The sequence below is a fragment of the Homo sapiens genome, chromosome 11, assembly GCF_000001405.40.
Source record: "Homo sapiens chromosome 11, GRCh38.p14 Primary Assembly".
NCBI classification, from domain to species: domain Eukaryota; kingdom Metazoa; phylum Chordata; class Mammalia; order Primates; family Hominidae; genus Homo; species Homo sapiens.
In genome coordinates, this window is record NC_000011.10 from 57041998 (window position 1) to 57064730 (window position 22733).

General features: G+C 38.0%; 1 long non-coding RNA gene and 2 pseudogenes across 1 annotated transcript in view; 2 read left to right on the top strand and 1 right to left on the bottom strand.

Annotated features, from left to right (window-relative positions):
- Positions 1-12: 12 nt before the first annotated feature.
- LOC105369309 (uncharacterized) overlaps positions 13-22733 on the bottom strand; it is a 189617-nt gene continuing 166896 nt past the window's right edge. The window contains exon 7 of the long non-coding RNA XR_007062670.1: positions 13-3347. This is a non-coding gene — a long non-coding RNA (uncharacterized LOC105369309). The remainder of the gene's footprint in view (positions 3348-22733) is intronic.
- OR5AO1P (olfactory receptor family 5 subfamily AO member 1 pseudogene) lies at positions 3083-3413 on the top strand (annotated as a pseudogene).
- On the top strand, positions 13704-14137 carry OR5BP1P (olfactory receptor family 5 subfamily BP member 1 pseudogene; annotated as a pseudogene).

Genomic DNA, 22733 nt, shown 5'->3' on the forward strand with positions numbered 1-22733 from the left:
GATGCCCATTCTTCTCAAACTCTTCCAGAAAAAGCAGAGAAGAAGGAATATTTCCAAACTGATTTTATGAGGCCAGCATTACCCTAATACAAATGCCAGACACAAACACTACATGAAAAGAAAGTTAAAGGCCACATCCTTGGTGAATATGCATGCAAAAATCATCAATAAAATGTTAGCAAACTGAATTCAACAGCACATTAAATTCATCAAGTGGGATTTACTCTTAGGATGCAAGGATGTTTCAACATATGCAAAACAATAAATAAGATACACTACATTAACAGAATAAAGGATTAAATTCATACGGTCATCTCAATTGATACAGAAAAAGCATTTGACAAAATTCAATGGTGTTTTATGGTAAAAGTCTCAACAAAGTAGGTGTAGAAGCAATGTGTCTCAAAATAATAAAAGCCATGTATGACAAGCCCACAGTCTACATCATACTTAATGGTAAAAAGATGAAAGATTGTCCTTTAAGATAAGGAAAAATACAAGGATGCCCATTCTTGCCATTTATATTCACCACAGTACTGGAAGTTATAGCTGTTGCAATTAGGCAAAAAAAAAAGAAATGAAATTATCCAAATTGAAAAGGAAGAAATCAAAGTGTCTCTGCAAATGACATGATCTTATATAGAGAAAACTCTAAAGACTCTACACACAAAAAAAAACTGATAAAAGTAATAAATTCAGGAAAGTTACAGCATAAAAAATAGACACAGAAAAGTCATTAGTGTTTCTATACACTAACAATAAACTATTCAAAAAGGAAACTAACAACATTATTCCATTTACAATGGCATCAAAAAGAATACAATACTTAAAGAATACATTTAACAAGGAGGTAAAAGATCTGTACATTGAAAATATGAGATATTGATGAAAAAACTGAAGACAAAAAAAAAGTGGAAAGATATTCTGTGTTCATGGAAAGGAATAATTAATATTACTAAGATGTCCATATTACCCAAAGTAGTCTACAGATTTAATGCAGTCTCTGTCAAAATTCTGATGACATTTTTTGCAGAAATAGAAAAAACAATCCTAAAATTTATAAGCCACAAAAGACCTCCAATAGTCAAAGAAATCTTGAGTAAAAAGAATAAACCTAGAGGCATCACACTCAATAATTTCAAATTATAACACAAAGCTACAGTAATCAAAACAGTATGGTACTGACATGAAAACAGACAGATAGATTAATGAAACAGAATACAGAGCCCAGAAATAAATCTAGGCATATGTGGTAAACTAATCTTTGACCAAAGTGCCAGTACAAAATTGGGGGGGAAATCCCTTTAATAAGTAGTGTTGCAAAAACTGGATAGCCACATGCAAAAAATGAAATAGGACTCATACCATATACAAAAATTAACTCTAAATGGATTAAAGACTTAAATGTAAAATCTGAAACCATATAACTCCTGGAAGAAAACATAGGAGAAAAGCACTTTCACATTGCTGTTGGCATTATTTTTTTCGATAAGACATAAAAAGCCCATGACAACAATAACAAAAAGAAACAAGTGGAATTACTTCTTTGAAACTAAAAAACTTCTGTACAGCAAATGAAACAATCAACAACATGAAAAGACAATGTAGAGAATGGAAGAAAATATTTGCAAACTATATACCTGATAAGGAGTTTATATCCAAAGTATATAAGGTACTCACACAACTCAATAGCAAAATAAATATGTAAACAACCTGATTTTAAAATGGTCAAGTTACCCGAATAGGCATTTCTCAAAAGAAGACATACAAATGGCCAATGGGTATATGAAGAGGTGCTCAACCTCACTAATTGCCAAATAAATGCAAATCAAAATCACAATGAGATATCACATCACACTTGTTAAAATGGCTACTAACAAAAAGAAAAGGATGTGTTGAAGTTTTGTGTGACAAAAATCCTTGTACACAGCTGATGGGACTATAAACTGGTACAAGCATTGTAAAAATGGTACAGAGCTTCCTCAAAAAGTTAAAAATAGAACTACCATATGATTCAGCATTCCCACTTCTGGGTGTATATCCAAAGGAAATGAAATCAGTATGTCGAATACATATCTGCACTCTCATCTGTAATGTTCATTGCAGCACTAGTCTCAATAGTCAAGATACGTAAACAAATGTTGGTCAGCAGATGAATGGATAAAGAAAACATGATATATATAGACACTGGAATATTATTCAGCCATTAAAAATAAGGAAATCCTGCCATTTGCAACAGCATGGAGGAACCTGGAGAACACTGTGCTAAGTGAAATCAGCCAGATGAAGAAAGAAATACTGCATGATCTCACTTGCATGTGGAATCTCAGACTTATCCTATGGATACACCAACTCCACTCCTTTTGTTCCCTCTCCACGAGGAAGTGTTACGATTGTATACTTTCTCTCAAGCCTTAAAACCATGCTGGGTACTGAGAATCTCCAATTTATTTTTCCTAGGGCAGTGACATGAAGTGCTTAAAGTATCTTCTCCCAACCCAGAGCAGTCTAGTTGGCTGTCTGTGTGTGTTTTTGGTGTATGAGCTGCAGAGGCTCTTGCAGGCACATCTATGGGGAGAGGGCAGGCAAAATACCAGACACAACCATGGTCTTGTTGTGGCCTCCACAGGTGATATGTCCTGGAAGGTTTGTGAGCAGCCTCTTGGTGGATTCTGCAGAGCAGCCAGTGGAAACAATAACGCTTTATGTACTGCACCCATGTTGCTGTGAGCCCCTGCCCCGAATTGTCCCAGGACTATTGAGTCATTCATTCAGTATTCTGGGTGAGGTGAGAAAGAAAAGAACCCCTTAGGCTGGAGAAGGTCTCACTTTCCCCTATGGGAGAAATCACTGGAGGTGCAGGTCTCTTTGACATTAAGCTGTGCTGCCTTGAGGGAGGCCGATGCTGGTAAAATGAAACTGCTTTTCTTATCCTCTTTAAAGTGTCTATGTTCAGATTCTTTTCTTCAGCAGGATGCTTGGACCTCTCTGCTGGCCTTCCGGGCTCCACAAAGGTGCTCTCATCTGTGAATGGTTGTCAGTCATTGTTTCTGTGGGGGCATGAGAACTGAAAGCTCCTGAACACCACTGTGATTGATGGTGGTCATCTTTTCCCAGGTATATACCCTGGCTGCTATCCCGAAGATGTCTTCCACTGCAGGAAGGACACAAGGCTTCTTCATGTGAGCTTCCCACCTGACGAGCAGTTGTCATTTTCTATGGCACTCCCTCTTACATGTATCTACACCATGGGAACAACGGGTCTCCAAAGCAGGGGAAAGTGTCATCTGTGTTCTATGGCATTGTGATTGATCTGCAGCCTGAGAGTCCAAGATGCGAGAGAAGCTCTAAAAGAAAAAGGAAAGAAGCAGTTCTAGATTGGGCCTCAGTTTCTAATTCTCTGCACTTGTAGACAACCAGATTGATAGTGCCAATTTTTTTTTTATTATACTTTAAGTCCTGGGATACATGTGCAGAACGTGCAGGTTTGTTACATAGGTACACACAAGCCATGGTGGTTGGCTGTGCCCATCATCTACATTAGGTATTTCTCCTAATGCTATCCACACCCTAGCCCCCCACCCAACGACAGGCCTCGGTGTGTGATGTTCCCCTCCCTGTGTCTATGTGTTCTCATTGTTCAACTCCCACTTATGAGTGAAAACATGCAATGTTTGGTTTTCTGTTCGAGTGTTAGTTTGCTGAGAATGATAGTTTCCAGCTTCATCCATGTCCACGCAAAGGACATGAACTCGTCTTTTTTATGGCTGCATAGTATTCCATGGTGTATATGTGTCACATTTTCTTTATCCAGTCTAGACTGCAAGACAATCCTAAGCAAAAAGAACAAAGCTGAAGGCATCACACTACCTGACTTCAAACACTACCTGACTTCAAACTGACAATGCTACAAGGCTACAGTAACCAAAACAGTATGCTACTGGTACCAAAACACATATATAGACCAATGGAACAGAACAGAGCCCTCGGAAATACTGTCACACATCTACAACCATCTGATCTTTGACAAACCTGATAAAAAAAGCAATGGGGAAGGCAATTCCTATTTAATAAATGGTGTTGGGAAAACTGGCTAGCCATATGCAGAAAACTGAAACTGGACCCCTTCCTTACAACTTATACAAAAATTAACTCGAGATGGATTAAAGACTTAAATGTAAGACTTAAAACCATAAAAACCTTGAAAGAAAACCTAGGCAATACGATTCAGGATATAGGCATGGGCAAAGACTTCATGACTAAAACACTGAAAGCAATGGCAACAAAAGCCAAAACTGACCAATGGGATCTAATTAAACTAAAAAGCTTCTATCATCAGAGTGAACAGGCAACCTACAGAATGGGAGAAAAATTTTGCAATCTATCCATCTGACAAAGGGCTAAGATCCAGAATCTACAAGTCACTTAAATTTACAAGAAAAAAAACAAACAACCCCATCAAAAAGCGGGGGAAAGATATGAACAGACACTTCTCAAAAGAAGACATTTATGCAGCCAACAAACATATGAAAAAAGTTCATCATCACTGGTCATTACAGAAACGCAAATCAAAATCACAATGGATACCATTTCACTCCAGTTAGAATGGCGATCATCAAAAAGTCAGGAAACAACAGATACTGGAGAGGTGTGGAGAAATAGGAATTTCCCATTGTTGGTGGTAGTGTAAATTAGTTCAACCATTTTGGAAGACAGTGTGACAATTCCTCAAGGATCTAGAATCAGAAATACCATTTGACCCAGCAATCTCATTACTAGGTATATACCCAAAGGATTATAGATCATTCTACTATAAAGACACATGCACACATAGGGTTATTGTGGCACTGTTCACAAAAGCAAAGACTTGGAACCAACCCAAATGCCTATCAATGATAGACTGGATAAAGAAAATGTGGCACATATACACCATGGAATACTATGCAGCCATAAAAAAGGATGAGTTTGTGTCTTTTGCAGGGACATGGATGAAGTTGGAAACCATCATTCTCAGCAAACTAACACAAGAACAGAAAACCAAACACCACATGCTCTCACTCATAAGTGGAAGTTGAACATGAAAACACATAGACACAGGGAGGGGGACATCACACACCAGGGCCTGTTGGGGGGTGGGGGGCTAGGGTAGGGATAGCATTAGGAGAAATACCTAATGTATATGACAGATTAATGGGTGCAGCAAACCACCATGGCAAGTGTATGTAACAAACCTGCACATTCTGCACATGTAATCCCAGAACTTAAAGTAAAATTTAAAGAAAAAAAATTTTTAAGCCTTCAATCCTGAATTTCAGCCCTAAAACTTGATGGAAATAAAAGTCCCAGTCCCTAAGGCCACATATTTAAGGATCTTTATTATAGCATCTTTTGGAAAGTCAAGACCTAGAAAGTGAACATCCCTCAACAGGGAAATAAATCTGTATTGTTGTAATCCCAAAATCTGTATCAGTTCTATCTATTGCTGCATAATAACATCCTCTGAAATGCTATAACCCCACTGTCAACCAAGACTGTGTCCTTATCTGAAGGATCAGCTGAGGGTAGATCTGCTTCCAAGCTCACTCACTTTGTTGGCAGAATTCATGTCCTTGCAGGTGTAGAACTGGCTGTCTGTCAGCTGAAAGCTGGCTGTCAGCTGAAAGCTACTTTCTGATCTTAGAGGAAGTCCATAGTTCTTTGCCACATGGCCCTCTCCATTGTCATTCTCAGAACATGGCAGCTTACTCTTCAAAGTCAGGAAGTCATATACTGTTAATCAGTACATACATCATGTGAAACAACACACCTCCACACACCCAAATCTCATTATTCCTTCAAGAGCTAGTCTCTCCCTGTAGTGTTCCCAAACCAGTGTTTGTTTCCTGCCAACCCTCTACTCCTGGAAGTAATTTCTTCTTCAACTGAATATCCATAGCCCTTCAACTATGTAAATAAATATTACTTATCACTATCTAAATTATTTATTTACATACCAGAGCTTCCCTACCATCTATAAGGAAGTTGACATACATTTTCTTTCTATAACCTTTTAACATCTGGTATGGAGGCTTAGACACAGTTGATAGTCCATAAATATTGAATGCATGAATGATGATAAAAAGTAATAATATGGGCAGCTTCCTAACTAGAAGTTAAGTGAATGTGTAGCATACATTAGTTGTCTTTAAATACCAATCTGTAGACAACAGCATTCAAATGACCTAGCAGTTTTTTAAAGTGTATATAACTACAGCCCAGCCCTGCAGATGTTGATTCAGCAATATTGGATGGAACCCAATATCTATACATATATATATATACAGAATGTTGTTTTAAACACATGTATCACTGTATGGTAGTATAGTGAACAGGATTTAGAACTCTTTGACTCTGGTTCACATCCCAACTCTGCCACTCACCAGCAGTGTCTCTTTACAAGTTAAATGAGCTTTTATGCCTGGTTTTTCTTTATATATGTTTCATGGGGTGCTCTAATTTGTTTATTTGCTTGTTTGTTAGGAATAGATAAGATAATGTATAGGAATCATACAGCCTCATAATGTAATATATAAAATAATACACAGAAATTATAAACCCTCAATAAATGTTAATAGTAATGAGTATTAGAAAAGATTATTTTAACATGGGTGTGACAGCCATTACAACAACACTTCAATGCACACGCTCCCACACACACACACACACACACACACACACACACACACACACACTGAGTCAAGAATCAATAAGAGTTGCCAAAGGTTTGCAACATGAACACTTTTCCCCTCTGGGAAACTCCTCTCTCCTTCAGTAGAAATCTAACTAATGAAAACATTCATTTTTTTGTTTGTTTGTTTGTTTGTTTTGTGTGTGTGGTTTTTTTTTTTTACCTAGAGCCACAGATGCTGAAGGGAGCAGGTCCTGATCCCAAAGGCCTCCACTATAAATTTTCTGTGAGAATCTGTGGAGAAATCTTTTAGTGGACAATCTGCCTGAAACAGCATAGAAAAAAATCTAAAGGCAAATCTCCTGGAAAAAAATTAAATTTTTCCTATTGAACTGTGCATTATTTTAGCATATGTATTAGTTTGTTCTCACACTGCTATAAAGAACTACCTGAGACTGGGTAATTTATGAAGCAAGCACGTTTTACCATGACAGAGCAGGAGAGGGAGAGAGTAAAGGGGGAAGTGCCACACACTTTCAAAAAACCAAATATCATGAGAACTCACTCACTATCACAAGAATAGCAGAGGAAAGTCCGCCCTCATGTTTCAGTCGTCTCCTGCCAGGCCCCTTCCCTGACATGTGGGGACTGCAATTCCAGATGAGATTTGAGTGGGGACGCAGAGCCAAACTCTATCAACATATGAGGACCAAAGTAAAATCTATAGAATTAGAGCCAGTATGTCATACGATTAACTCCAAAGTTGGGTAGAGTCATCTTATCTTTGGCAAAGTAAAAATGTAAGTGAAGAGAGGAGGCTATCAACAGTATTGAGAAATTAGAAAATGGCCCTGAAGATAGCAGCTGATATATTAGCCATAAAGTTCCCAATTGAATATAAACAATCTTTACAGGATATGAGCAAAAATTAGACAAGGCCACTCTATGACTGAAATGGAACAAGACAGAGAAAAGGCCATTCTGTGACTATGTTTCTGTGATTATGTCTGAAACATAATCACAAGACAAGAACTCTTGGCACCCACAAAAATGGCTAAATACTCTGCTCTTCTAACTAATCTGAGTAAATACTCCTTCTTTACCTACTTTAATCTTCCTTCCTCTTAGATATAAATTACCAACATAGCTAATCACCAGTTCTTTTGCTAACACTCATCTCAGAATTTAGGAGGCATCCACTCCCTAAATCCTTCTTAGAATCACCCAGCACAAAACTAAATCCTATAATAGGGCTTCTCGGTTCCCTCTTATCCAACACTCTGCTCCCTCTGGTGCATGCTCACTCTTGCTGCGGCACACGAAATAAGCCTACCTTTCTTCTGCATGTGAGTTCCTGATGCTTGTTGGCTCTCGGGCATTGACAGTATAAATTGTGCCAGGCATATCTCTTACCTCTCTTGAACATTGCTTCTTTTTATTATTCATTTTTCTTGAGAAATTAATTTGTATGTGTCTACTACTGTTTAAATACATCTGTTTTTAAAGTTGAAAATGTACTATTCAAGTTATTTTCCCCACTTACTTAAAATTGCATATATGCTTCCAGATGGTGTTTTCCTTACATACACACACACACACATACACACACACACTCAGGATTTTTAAAGTTAAAATCAGTTCACACCCCACATTTTTCTGTAAAGTATTTTATTCACCTAACACTGTGTTATTAACTTTTTTCATAAGAATACATATAGATCTATCTCATTATTTTTAGGTGTTTCATAGAAATGCAAATTATACATTAGTTCTGATTTATCCTCTCACTTCCTTATCTATTTTCAATATTTTGCTATAAATAGAAATACTACATAGAAACCCCTGTGTTTTAAGTAAATTCTTTCAATCTCGTTTTATCAAAGATTAGACAGAGGTTAAGGGACATTACATTTTTTTTTGCCCAAGATCATATGTCTATTAAGTGGTAGTTCCCAGATTTAAACCTAGATCTTTCTAACTTTAAAGACTATTTACTTTTCATTTCAGGTAGTATAAAATAAAGCTTCAAAGGGGGTGAATATGCTATAGTTTGGGCAATTTCAAAACACTTATATTCATCCAATTGAAAACCACTTCCAGAACTTCTACTTCTGGCCAAGATAAAGTAATAGAAACGGGATTTACCTTCTGACCTAAAATACACAAAGTTGGACAAAATATATGAAATAAATAGTTTCATAATTCTTAAGGCACTTTCATCAAGCAATAAAGGACAACGATCCCAGAAAGTCAAGAAACCAATGAGCTCTAAAATTTCCCCAGCTTATTTCCTTAAGAAAGTTTCCAGGCCACAGTACAGAGATAGAATGTACATGAAGAGTTTAGTGGACTTCCTAAAGGAGATGGAGCTGAAAGTCTGAAAAGACCAAGGCAACTAGAGTTTACAGGACAAAATACTGGAGAAAATGAGCTGAACAGAGAGAGAACCCCTAGAGCTGCAGAAAATACCCCTTAATTATTTAGCTGAGTGCTGGTCAGTACAAACATGTAAGAAACACCTAGAGACAAGGGAATAAAACACCAAAATGATTAAAGGTAACAGTGCTCAATGCTCATACAAGGCTGGAAATTGTGCCTGTTCTCGCCAGACAGACTGAGAAATCTCAAGATTCATGATGTTCTGGGTGGAGCAGACAGAAAGGACTTGCTTCAGGTCAGAAATAATTAGCTCTAGACTGAGCTGTGCTTCAGTTCAAACTAACAAATCTACAAAGCAAGACTCAAAAGATCATATGGCTGGTCACAGTATCTCACACCTGTAACTCTAGTACTTTGGGAGGCCAAGGTGGGTGGATTGCTTGAACTCAGGAGTTTGATACCAGCCTGGGCAACAAAGTGAGACCCCCATCTCCACGAAAAATACATAAATCAGGCAGGCAGGCATGGTGGCATGTGCCTGTTTGTTGTCCCAGCTACCCAAGAGGCTGAAGTGGGAGGTTGGCTTGAGCCCAGGAGGCAGAAGTTGCAGTGAGCCAGGATCACAACAATGCACTCTAGCCCTGAGTGACAGAGCCAGACTCCATCTCAAAAAAAGAAAAAAAAAGGATTATACAGTTTCCAAGTATCTTTTTCTTTTTTTTTTTTTGAGACGGAGACTTGCTCTGTCACCCAGGCTGGAGTGCAGTGGTGCGATCCCAGCTCACTGCAACTTCCACCTCCCAGATTCAAGTGATTCTCCTGCCTCAGCCTCCCGAGTAACTGGGATTACAGGCACACACCACAACACCCGGCTAATTTTTGTATTTTTAGTAGAGACGAGGTTTCACCATGTTGGTCAGGCTGCTCTCAAACTCCTGACTTCATAATCTGCCCGCCTCGGCCTCCCAAAGTGCTGGGATTACAGGCATGAGCCACTACACCCAGCCAGTTTCCAAGTATCTTAACTGTGCTACAGAACAAAGCTCAAGAATATGTATAAAAATACAAAACATCTAGCACCAAGCATAGTAATATTCATAATGTCTGGCATTCAATCAAAAATTCTCCAAGCATGCAAAAAGCAGGAACATATGACCATAATAAGAATAATTTGTAATAAAAACTGACCAAGAACTGCCAAAGATGTTAGAATTAGCAAACAAGAGCACTAAAACAATTATAACTGAACTCCATATGTTCAAAGAAGATAAGAAGCAATATGAAAGATTCAATGAAGTCTACAGATGATTAAAAGAATGGATGGGGGACAGGCACAGTGGCTCACTCCTGTAATCCCAGCACTTTGGGAGGCCGAGGCAGGCTGATCACCTGAGTTCAGGAGTTTGAGACCAGCCTGGCCAACATGGAAAAACTTTGTCTCTACTAAAAATACAAAAAAAATATAGCTGGATGTGGTGGTGTATGCCTGTAATCCCAGCTACTTGGGAGGCTGAGGCAGGAGAATCCCTTGAACCCAAGAGGCAGAGGTTGCAGTGAGCCAAGAATGCACCACTGCACTCCAGCCTAGGTGACAGAGCAAGACTCTGTCTCAAAAAAAAAGAAAGGGGGATTAACTATAGATTAGACGTAATGCAAAATAAATAATTAGTAAACATTAAGACAGAGAGAAAAGGTATGCAAAATGAGAAAAAAATCAAAAAGATAAATGAACAGGGCATCAGTCAGCTGTGGAACACCTTCATGCAGCTGTATATATGTGTAATTGGAGTCACTGAAGGAGAAGAGAAACAGAGTTGATACTGAAGAGCATTTTTTAAATAATGATTAAAATTTTGTTAATTTTATGAAAACTATTATATAAACCCACCAATTCAGGAATCTCAAGAAGCCCCAAGCACAAGTAACATGGAAAATCCACACCAAGATATATCATAATAAAATTGCTAAAAAACAAGAATAGAGGGAAAATCTTAACTGCATCCAAAGAAAAAAAGGCCATTATGAATAGCAGAGCAAAAGTACAAATAAAAGTAGATTGCTTGTCAGAAACAATGCAAGTGAAAAGACAGTGGAGAAATGTCTTAAAATACTGAAAGAAAAAAAATTATTTTATCATAGACTAAATAATTTTATATCTATTATTTTCTTAATACATACACACACCATGCACACACACTTCTGACCACAATGCACATGGAAAGTACCCATATGTAATGTTGAATCACTTTTCAGCCTTTTATTTAATTTGTTCCCTGGGTGACTTAATTTCAGAATTTTTAAAGGCTAATTAAGATGATTAACAATGTTCGTGCCATTATCTCACCATGATTAAAGCAGGTTTAGGCATTCTTACATACCTTCTTTCTTTTTCTTTCTTTCTTTTTTTTTTTTTTTAATTAGAGACGGGGTTTCACCACATTGGCCAGGCTGGTCTTGAACTCCTGACCTCAGGCGATCTGCCTGCCTCAGCCTCCCAAAGCGCTAGGATTACAGGCATAAGCCACCATGCCTGGCCCCTGCATACCTTCTTGCTCTGCTCCCCACTAGATTTAAAATTACTTGAAGGAAAAGATCAAATCTTATTAATTTATATTACAAACTTTCCTCAAGGAAACATCTTGCATAAAATTTGACTTGAAGTGAAATTGTCATTTATTCTTCTAAAGGGCTACTTGGTTGTGAGTATCTACATATCAAGGAAAGAACCAGAGATGTCAATACATTATAACTCATAGCCTAGTTTGCATTATGCCTCACATACCAAAGTCATATCCTGATTTTGGCTTAATTAGAGAAAATCAGCTTTATTGAAGTTACTGATGTTAACAAAGATAGGACATCTAATGATTCCTCAAGTGGATATATTATTTTCTTATCTACAGGTGACTTCTTTATTTAAGAGTCAGGGTCCCCTCTGTTGCCCAGGCTGGAGTACAGTGGTGCAATCATGGCTCACTGCAGCATTGAACTCCTGGCCTCAAGCTGTCTTTCCACCTCAGCCTCCTGAGTTACTGGGATTACAGGCTTGAGATATGACAATCGGTTTGCAAGTGACTTTTTAAACTGCCCACCGACACCCTAAAGCTATTGGTCAGAGCCAGACAGGTAAGAGGCTACGAGTGTGATCACTTTCAGAAGCTTAGCAGTTTCTATACTAGCACATGAGGATTTAAACCATCATGAAAATAATAAAGATTTCTTAACAGCCCAACTTTGGACTTTGCCAGTTCCTAGAACTATCAAAAATGTTGCTTGTGTGATGTCATTTTCCCTTAGAATTTGCTCATTATTTCCTCTCATTTCTTACCTATCACAGGTTTAACTTTCTTTCTCGGTAAAGACTCTTTTTTCTTCGGTAAAAATGAGTAACATCTGTACCTACAACTGCAGGAATCTACAGTGGCAGTGTTTTTCAATATTTCTCCTTTCTAGTAGGTGGCACAAGAATCAAAATAACTTTAAAAGCATATTATGAGAACATTTAAAATCCTCTCTTTTAGCCATTTTAAGAGGATTTTAAATGTTCTCACCACAAAGAAATGATAAATATTTGGGGCAATGAATATGCTAGTTACCCTGATTTGATCATTCCACAATATACACATGTATCAAAACATCACACTGTACACCATAAATGTCTACAATTATTATGTGTCAATTAAAAATAAAATAAACTTTTTAAGAAATATATTTTGGAACATATTACTTCATTTATCTAGTCCCTGACTTGTTCCCACAAAAAGCCTAAAGCATATTATCAGCTCTCTAAATACATTTTCAATTTTGAGAAACTTTAACCCACTGTAATACAAAGCAGTTTTCATGAGATGCCAGTCTGTAGAAGTTATTTTAATGTAGAATGACTCATTTAATAAATGAACATATGCTTTCTATTTGAGGCAAATTATTCTGCAAAACTGCATCATAGATGATCAGAAATTGAGATAGCTTCAGTCTAGACTAGCACCATAATCCAGTGATTTCATTTAAAAAGAAAAATGAATGGTGAGGAATGTGCCTCCCTGATCCTAGTGAGTTTTCAGATTCTCTAGTATATAGTAAACATACAAGAAAGCAGAGAAATTCATAGGGAAAAAAATGGGGACTTTGCCCTAAGAATTGTCAAGGGGAAGCTGGAGAGAATCAAACATTAGGGAAAATCTCCTGCGAAATGATTTGATAGAAGAATCCCTGACTCATCACAGCATCATTCCATGGACAAAGACCATAGGTGTTCTTCTTTCATGTAAGGAAGTTTATTATAGGCCTGGAGAAATAATCGGGGTATTATTAGCTAACATTAGGATAGGAGTTCTAAGTGCCAACACATAGAATATGTGTTATTTCATTGAACTTTGACAAATTATCTCTATTTCAGATTATGAAAAATCTGTGATCCCTATTTGCAGATTATGAAACTCAGAGCAGTTAAACAACCTGCTCAAGCCACATAATCAAGTGGTAAAACCAGGATTTTAATTTAATTCCAGAGCTTGCACTCTTGGCCAAACAATACACATTATTTTTAGTTAAGGTAAAAAAAAACTAGAATATTTTTCTCTCAACAGCATATCACTTTTTCCCCACACTTTCTGTAAATAATAACAAATTTCTATAAATAATAAATAATAATTTCTAGGTATAATTTAATTTACATAGTGAAACAAGCCATTCTTAGGTATATTCCTTAGTTCTGTCTTCGAAAGTCTGCATCCTGTTAGCAGCTGGCGTAGTTGGTGGGATACTTAGCAGAAGGATTGTATGTGTGTCCTACTGTTTCACTGTCCTCCTCCAGGTCCAATGCCATCAATCACTTTTTCTGTAATAAATCCCTAGGGCTTGGTCTTTCATGCTACAACATTTATATCAGCACAGCAGTCCCTGCCTTTGCAGAGTTTGAGTGCTGCATTCATTGCCATATTTGGTCATCATGTTCTCCTGGACATATATCCTGGTTGCTATCAAGAGGATGTCCTCAGTGGGGAGAAAAGAATTGTCTATTTGTGTCTCCCACCTGAAAACTAGCACCATTTTTCATACAGCCCTCTTTTATGTGTACTTACAGCCTGATTTTTTTCTTTTTTAATTTTTAAATTCTTTATTTTGAGACCGTGTCCCTCTCTATTGCCCAGGCTAGAGTGCAGTATCACTATCATAGCTCACTGCAGCCTCAAACCTCCGGGCTTAAGCAATCCTCCTCCCTCAGCCTCCTGAGTATCTCCCAGATAATTTTGTTTTCAGAGACAGGATCTCACTATGTTGCCCAGGCTGGTCTTGAACTACTGGCTTCAAGCAGTTCTCCCACCTCAGCCTCCCAAAGTGCTGAGATTACAAGCATTAGCCACCATGTCCAGACTATTTTTTAACTGACACATAAAAAATGTCTATATTTATGACATAGACATATTTATAATAATATTTTGAAATAGGTATATATTGTAGAATGGCTAAATTGATCTGATTAACATACACAGCGACAACATATCTATCATTCTGTGTGTGTGGTGAAAACACAACATCTACTCTTTTAGCAATTTTCAAGAAGACATTATTATCAGCAACAGTCACCACGTTGTGCAATAGATCTCTTGAATTTATTCCTTCTACCTAATATGTGTTATTGCATTGAACTTTGACAAATCATTTCTATTTCAGATTATGAAAAAGCTGCAGATCCCTATATGAAACTTTGCCCTTTGTCCAATATTTACTCAACCCCCATGCCCTGTCCCTGGTAACCACCATTCTACTTTCTGTTGCTATGAGTTCAATTTTTTTTAGATTCTACATATAAGTGAGATCACACGATATTTGTCTTTCTGTGCCTGGTTTATTTCACTAAGCATAATCTCAAGCAGGTCTTACATCCTGATTCTAACAAGCTCCAGGAGACTATGAAAGTCACCTCCATGGTTTCTAGCTTGTGTATCCATGCTGAATCCTTGATTTATGGCCCATAAAAAACAAAGAAGTGGTAGAAGTACTAACGATGTAAGAAATAAGTGTTTATGAATTTCGACTCAATCTCTGACACTAGGCACACAGAAGCATCCAAGCAAAAGTTTTTCAAAAGAAGCTATTTCCCAGAGCAATTTTTCCAATAGCTTCCAAAATGTGTGGCACTTCCTAAATCCCTAAATTATAGGCAAGGTTCTCAAATTATCACAGAAATTGAATTGACTGGAAAGGCAGCATAGTTCTTCTGTCTCGTGAACCAAATTCTCTTGCTAATGACTGCTTTTTTATGAAAAGTTCATATCTGAGCAGAACTTCTAGGGGTAGTCAGCAACAAGAAACCATCCCCAGACTCTGTAAGTAAAAAGCGATCATATTATCAAATCACCCAGTGGTGCCCAAATGGCTTCCACCATGATCTGAAGCCACCAACAACCCTAGAGACAGAGAAAAATGCAGGCTGGCAAATATGCTAGCACCCATTGCCAGAGGTGAGCTGCCATATTGATGACTTCTCCCTGGCTCTGCCTTGTAACATCAAGTCTAGCAGCATCCTGTACAGTCAGTGGCATGGCCTGGCCAAACAGAAAAATTTCTGCTGCTCCAGCATCACAAAATCTGACAGCTGTGTCACTTCAGAGAAGTATCTACAAAATTTGCCTTAGCCCAGCATTCTCCCAATGAACTCCAGAGAACTTGTTCCACAAGACACTCAACATGAAAAGAATTTCAAGGCCAAGTAGTGCTGAAAGTTCTGAGTTAACCAATATCAGATTTTTTTTACTGCCAGGCTTTCCAGGGATTTCTTATTAATATACACTAGTATGAATTATGTCTCTCTAAGAGAAAATGAGTGTAGAGCATTTGCCAAACTTACTGAGTCACAGGACCCTTTTATATCTATGGACTATTTGTTCTATTATCTCAGTTCTAAAATGTATATTTATCTCACATTTTAATATTTCTGATATTGGAATTACCTTAACATCTATGTATATATTTAAGAGGAAAATGAAAATGGTTATGAAATTGATGGTGACTCTTTCCCTCCTTCTATCTACCTATCTCTATCTAATATAATAGAAGATAATTCTTATAATTTTAAGTTGCCTTAGCATCCATTTTGAATTAAGTTTAACTTTCTCATACCAGAAGTAAGGCTCAGTCACCCTTGACACAACTTCTAGGTCTATACCACACCCAGTGCTCAAGCTGGTGACCAGAGATGAGAACTTAGAGGCATCTCTTCCACCTATCAGTCTGGGTTCCCCACTTTCCTTAAAGTGACCCACAATCGTATTCCTTTATACACACCACTAGTTGCCCACCCCACCTCTTCTCTCTGTCTCTCTGCCTTACTCTTCATTTCTGCCTTGTGTGACCCAATTGTGGGTTGGACAACTAGACATTAGGCCACTTGCCAGGTAAAAGAAGTATCTCATGAAAGGCACACTGTAAACATTCATGTCTATCTCCCCTTCATTTCCTATTAGAGTAAGTTTGCTAATTGATCGGGTACTGGACACCCAGTTTAGCTGAGAGGTCTCAAAATAATAATATAATGAAGATAAAACACTATTAAAAGCTTGGAATTAGTGTTCCTTACTATACAATTTGAAAAAAAATATGTATCTGTTTAAAACAAAGAGCTGGCTAACTACTCTTATAAAAATAACTAAAATGAGAAGAAGAGGAAATAGACTACTTATTAGAAAACCCTGTGTATTTGAAGAAAATCTTCATATGATAAACAGAATACCACATTTGTATATCGATAATCAATATTCTATTCAGTCATCAACACAAGTACCTTAAAAACTTATGCCAGGAGGTGTGTTATTTGCCCTGTTCCAGTTATTGTGGATCAAAACATTTTTATTTCTTTACAAAGCATCTGAGAGTGTGGAATAAGATGATGGAATAGGACTCTCCAGTGTTCGTTGCCACACAGAAATATCAATTTGAAAAACTACCCATGCATGAAAATACCTTTACAAGAACTAAGAAACTCATGTGAGAGGTCACAGTACCTGGCTGTAGCATAATAATGAGAAAAGATGCATTGAAGAGAACAGGAAAGATAGTTTTTTTACCCACATCACCCCTCCAATCCCAACAGCACAGCAGAAAGAAAGATACTATTTGCCTGGGGGAAAGAGAAAGAAGTAAAAATAAGACTTTGCTTTTATCCCTAATATCAGACCTACAATAGTAAAAATGACAGTAAAGATGCTGTCAACCTAAAAAATCTATATTTTGTTATAACTGATGTTTTTTTGCAAGCCTCGTGATAACTACAAAACAAAAACCTATAATAGAAACACAAAACATAAAAAGCAAGGAATCAAAACAAACCACGGAGAAAAATTCCCTTAAGCACAAAGGAAGACAGTAAAGGAGGAAGGAAATTTTAAAAATCTACAAAGCATTTAGAAAACAAGTAATAAAATTGCAGTAGTAAACCTTTACCTATCAAAAATCACCTTAAATATAAACGATTCAATTTTTCAATCAGAGACACAGAGTGGCTGAATACAGAAACAAAATTCAACTACACACTGCCTTCAAGAGACTCACTTCACCTATAACACAGAGACTTAAAGTGAAGGATGGAAAAAGACATTCCACACAAATAGAAGCCAAAAGAGAGCAAGAGGAGATATACTTATATCAGATAAAATAGACTTTAAGTCAAACCCTCTAAAAGAGACAAAGAAAGTCATTATATAATGATAAAGAAGTCAATTCAGCAAGAAGCTTCAATAGTTATTAAGTCCATATGCACCCAACATTAAAGAAGCTAAATATATAAGGCAAATGTTAATAGATATGAAGGGAGAGATAGATTGCAATACAATAATAGTAGAGGACTTCAACACCCACTTTATTTTTTTTATATACTTTAAGTTCTAGGGTACATGTGCACAACGTGCAGGTTTGTTACTTATGTAAACATGTGCCATGTTGGTATGCTGCACCCATTAACTCGTCATTTACATTAGGTATATCTCCTAATGCTATCCCTCCCCGCTCCCCCAACCCCACAACAGGCCCCAGTGTGTGATGTGCCCCACTCTGTATCCAAGTGTTCTTATTGTTCAATTCCCACCTATGAGTGAGAACACGTGGTGTTCGGTTTTCTGTCCTTGCGATAGTCTGCTAAGAATGATGGTTTCCAGCTTCATCCATGTCCCTGCAAAGGACATGAACTCATCCTTTTTTATGGCTGCATAGTATTCCATGTGTATATGTGCCACATTTTCTTAATCCAGTGTATCATTGATGGACATTTGGGTTGGTTCCAAGTCTTTGCTATTGTGAATAGTGCTGCAATAAACATACATGTCAACACCCAATTTAAGAAATGGACAGATCACCCAGACTGAAAATCCACAAGAAAATATTAGACTTAACTGCACTCTAGACCAAATGGAATTAACAGACATATACAGAAAATTCCATCCAACAGCTGCAGCACACCCTTTTTCTCAACTGCACATGGAACATTCTCCACAATAGATCATATGTTAGGCCCCAAAACAAGTCTTAACAAATTTTAAAAGATTAAAATCATATCAAGTATCTTTTCTGACCACAATGATATCAAACTAGAATTTTTTTTCATACCAACAGTGAATTACCTGAAAAAGAAATGAAGAAAACAACCCCACTTACAATAGATACCAAAAAATATATACTATGAATCAACTTAACCAAGGAGGTCAAAGATCTGTATACTGAAAACAATAAAACACTGATGAAATATATTTTAAAAAAACACAAATAAATAGAAAGATATCCTGTGTCTATAGACTGGAAGAATTTAATATTGTTAAAATGTCTGTGCTACCTAAAGCAATCTAGTTTCAATATAATCCCTATCAAAATAAAAGAGACATTCTTCACAGAAATAGGAAAAAAATGTAAAATTTATATGGAATAGCAAAAGATCCCAAAGAGCCAAAATAACCTTGAGAGAGAAAAACACAGTTGGAGGCATCACACTACCTAGAACAAGTAGAAAAGAATAGAGGGCCCAGAAATAAATCCATGCATTTACAGCCAACTGTGTTTTGATAGAGGTGCCAAGAACACACATTGGTGAAAGGACATTCTCTTCCATAAATGCTGTTGGACAAAAAAAGAAAATTTCAGGCCAATATCTTTGATGAACATAGACACAAAAATCCTCAACAAAATACTAGAAAACCAAGTCCAGCAGCACATCAAAAAGCTAATCCACCATGATCAAGTAGGTTTTATCCCTGGGATGCAAAGTTGGTTCAACATAGGCAAATCAATAAATGTGATTCACCACATAACAAAGAGAACTAAGAACAAATCACATGATCATTTCAATAGATGAGAACAGGCTTCCAATAAAATTCAACATCCTTCATGTTAAAAACCCTCAAAAAACTAGTCATCAAAGAACATATTTCAAAATAACAGGAGCCGTCTATGAAAACTCCTCAGCCAACACTGAATAGGCAAAAGCTGGAAGCATTTCCCTTGAAAACTGCAGCAAGGCAAAGAGGCCCTCTTTCACCACTTCTATCCAACATGGTACTAGAAGTCCTAGCCAGAGCAATCAGACAAGAGAAACAAATAAAAGGCATCCAAACAGGAAAAGAGAAAGTCAAACTATCCCTGTTTTTAGACTATATGATTGTATATCTAGAAAACTTCATAGTCTCTGCCCAAAAGCTCCTTGTTCTGATAAACAACTTCAGCAAAGTTTCACGATGCAAAATTAATGTACAAAAATTAGTAGCATTTCTATACACCAACAAGATCCAAGCTGAGAGCCAAATCAAGAATGCAATCCCATTCAAAATGCCACAAAAAGAATAAGATACCTATAGATACAGCTAACCAAGGAGATGAAAGACTTCTACGATGAGAATTACAAAACACTGCTGAAAGAAATCAGAGATGACACAAAAAAATGAAAAAACATTTCATGCTCATGGATAGAATTAATACTGTTAAAATGGCCATACTGCCCAAAGCAATTTACAGATTCAATGATATTCCCACCAAACTACAAAATGGCATTCTTCACAGAATAAGAAAAACTATTTTAAAATTTATATGGGTCCAGTAAAGAGTCCAAATAGCCAAAGCAATCCTAAGCAAAAAGAACAAAGCTGGAGGCATCACACTAACCTGACTTCAAACTATACTACAAGGCTGCAGCAATCAAAGCAGCACGGTACTGGTACAAAAACAGACACATAGACCAATGGAACAGAATAGAGAGCACAGAAACAATGCCACACACCTGTAACCATCTGATCTTTGACAAAGCTGACAAAAACAAAGCAATGGGGAAAGGACTCCTTCTTTAATAAATGGTGCTGGGATAACTAGCTAGCCATATGCAGAAGATAAAAACTAGACCCTTTCCTTTCACCATATACAAAAATAAACTCAAGATGGATTAAAGATTTAAATGTAAAACTGAAAACTATAAAAATCTTGGAAGATAACCTAGGAAATAGCAGTCTAGACATAAGACATGGCAAAGATTTCATGATGAAGATGCTAAAAGCAATTGCAATAAAAACAAAAATTGACAGATGGGACATGCTTAAATGAAAGAGCTTCTGCACAGCAAAAGAAACTATCAATAAATAGACAACCTATAGAATGGGAGAAAATATTTTTAAACTATGTATCTGACAAAGGTCTAATACCCAGAATTTATAAGGAACTTCAACAAATTTATGGGGGGGCGGCTCCAAGATGGCCCAATAGGAACAGCTCCAGTCTACAGCTCCCAGCGTGAGCAACGCAGAAGACAAGTGATTTCTGCATTTCCAACTGAGGTACCAGGTTCATCTCACTGGGGCTTGTAGGACAGTGGGAGCAGGACAGTGGGTGCAGCCCACCAAGCAAGAGCCGAAGCAGGGCGAGGCATCACCTCACCCAGGAAATGCAAGGAGTCAGGGAATTCCCTTTCCTAGCCAAGGGAAGTGGTGATGGATGGCACCTGGAAAATCAGGTCACTCCCACCCTAATACTGCGCTTTTCCAATGGTCTTAGCAAACGGCACACCAGGAGATTATATCCCGTGCCTGGCTCAGAGGGCCCCATGCCCATGGAGCCTCGCTCACTGCTAGCACAGCAGTCTGAGATCGATCTGCAAGGTGGCAGCGAAGCTGGGGGAGGGGCACCCACCAGTGCTGAGGCCTGACTAGGTAAACAAAGCAGCCAGGAAGCTCCAACTGGGTGGAGCCCACCGCAGCTCAAGGAGGCCTGCTTGCCTCTGTAGACTCCACCTCTGGGGGCAGGGCATAGCCAAACAAAAGGCAGCAGAAACCTCTGCAGACTTAAATGTCCCAGTCTGACAGCTTTGAAGTGAGTAGTGGTTCTCCCAGCACTGAGTTTGAGATCTAAGAATGGACAGACTGCCTCCTCAAGTGGGTCCTTGACCCCTGAGTAGCCCCAACTGGGAGGCAAACTCCAGTAGGAGCAGACTGACACCTCACACAGCCAGGTAACCCTCTGAGACAAAAATTTCCAGAGGAACAATCAGGCATCAACATTTGCTGTTCAGCAATATTCACTGTTCTGCAGCCTCCGCTGCTCATACCCAGGCAAACAGGGTCTGGAGTGGACCTCCAGCTAACTCCAACAGACCTGCAGCTGAGGGTCCTGATTGTTAGAAGGAAAACTAACAAACAGAAAGGACATCCACACCAAAACCCCATCTGTACGTCACCACCATCAAAGACCAAAGGTAGATAAAACCACAAAGATGGGGAAAAACAGAGCAGAAAAGCTGAAAATTCTAAAAATCAGAGCGCCTCTCCCCCTCCAAAGGAATGCAGCTACTCACCAGCAACGGAACAAAGCTGGATGGAGAATGACTTTGACGAGTTGAGAGAAGAAGGCTACAGACGATCAAACTTCTCCGAGCTAAAGGAGGAAGTTCAAACCCAATGCAAAGAAGCTAAAAATCTTGAAAAAAGATTAGACGAATGGCTAACTAGAATAACCAATGTAGAGAAGTCCTTAAAGGAACTGGTCGAGCTGAAAACCATGGTACGAGAACTACATGATGAAGGCACAAGCTTCAGTAGCCAATGCGATCAACTGGAAGAAAGTGTGTCAGTGATGGAAGATCAAATGAATGAAATGAAGCAAGAAGAGAAGTTTAGAGAAAAAAGAGTAAAAAGAAATGAACAAATCCTCCAAGAAATAAGGGACTATGTGAAAAGACCAAATCTACGTCTGATTGGTATATCTGAAAGTGACGGGGAGAATGGAACCAAGTTGGAAAACACTCTGCAGGATATTATCCAGGAGAACGTCCCCAATCTAGTAAGGCAGGCCAACATTCATATTCAGGAAATACAGAGAATGCCACAAAGATACTCCTCGAGAAGAGCAACTCCAAGACACATAATTGTCAGATTCACCAAAGTTGAAATGAAGGAAAAAATGTTAAGGGCAGCCAGAGAGAAAGGTCGGGTTACACACAAGGGAAGCCTTGTGTAACAAGAGAGATCAAAGTAACAGCTGATCTCTTGGCAGAAACTCTACAAGCCAGAAGAGAGTGGGGGCCAATATTCAACATTCTTAAAGAAAAGAATTTTCAATCCAGAATTTCATATCCAGCCAAACTAAGCTTCCTAAGTGAAGGAGAAATAATCCTTTATAGACAAGCAAATGCTGAGAGATTTTGTCACCACCAGGCCTGCTC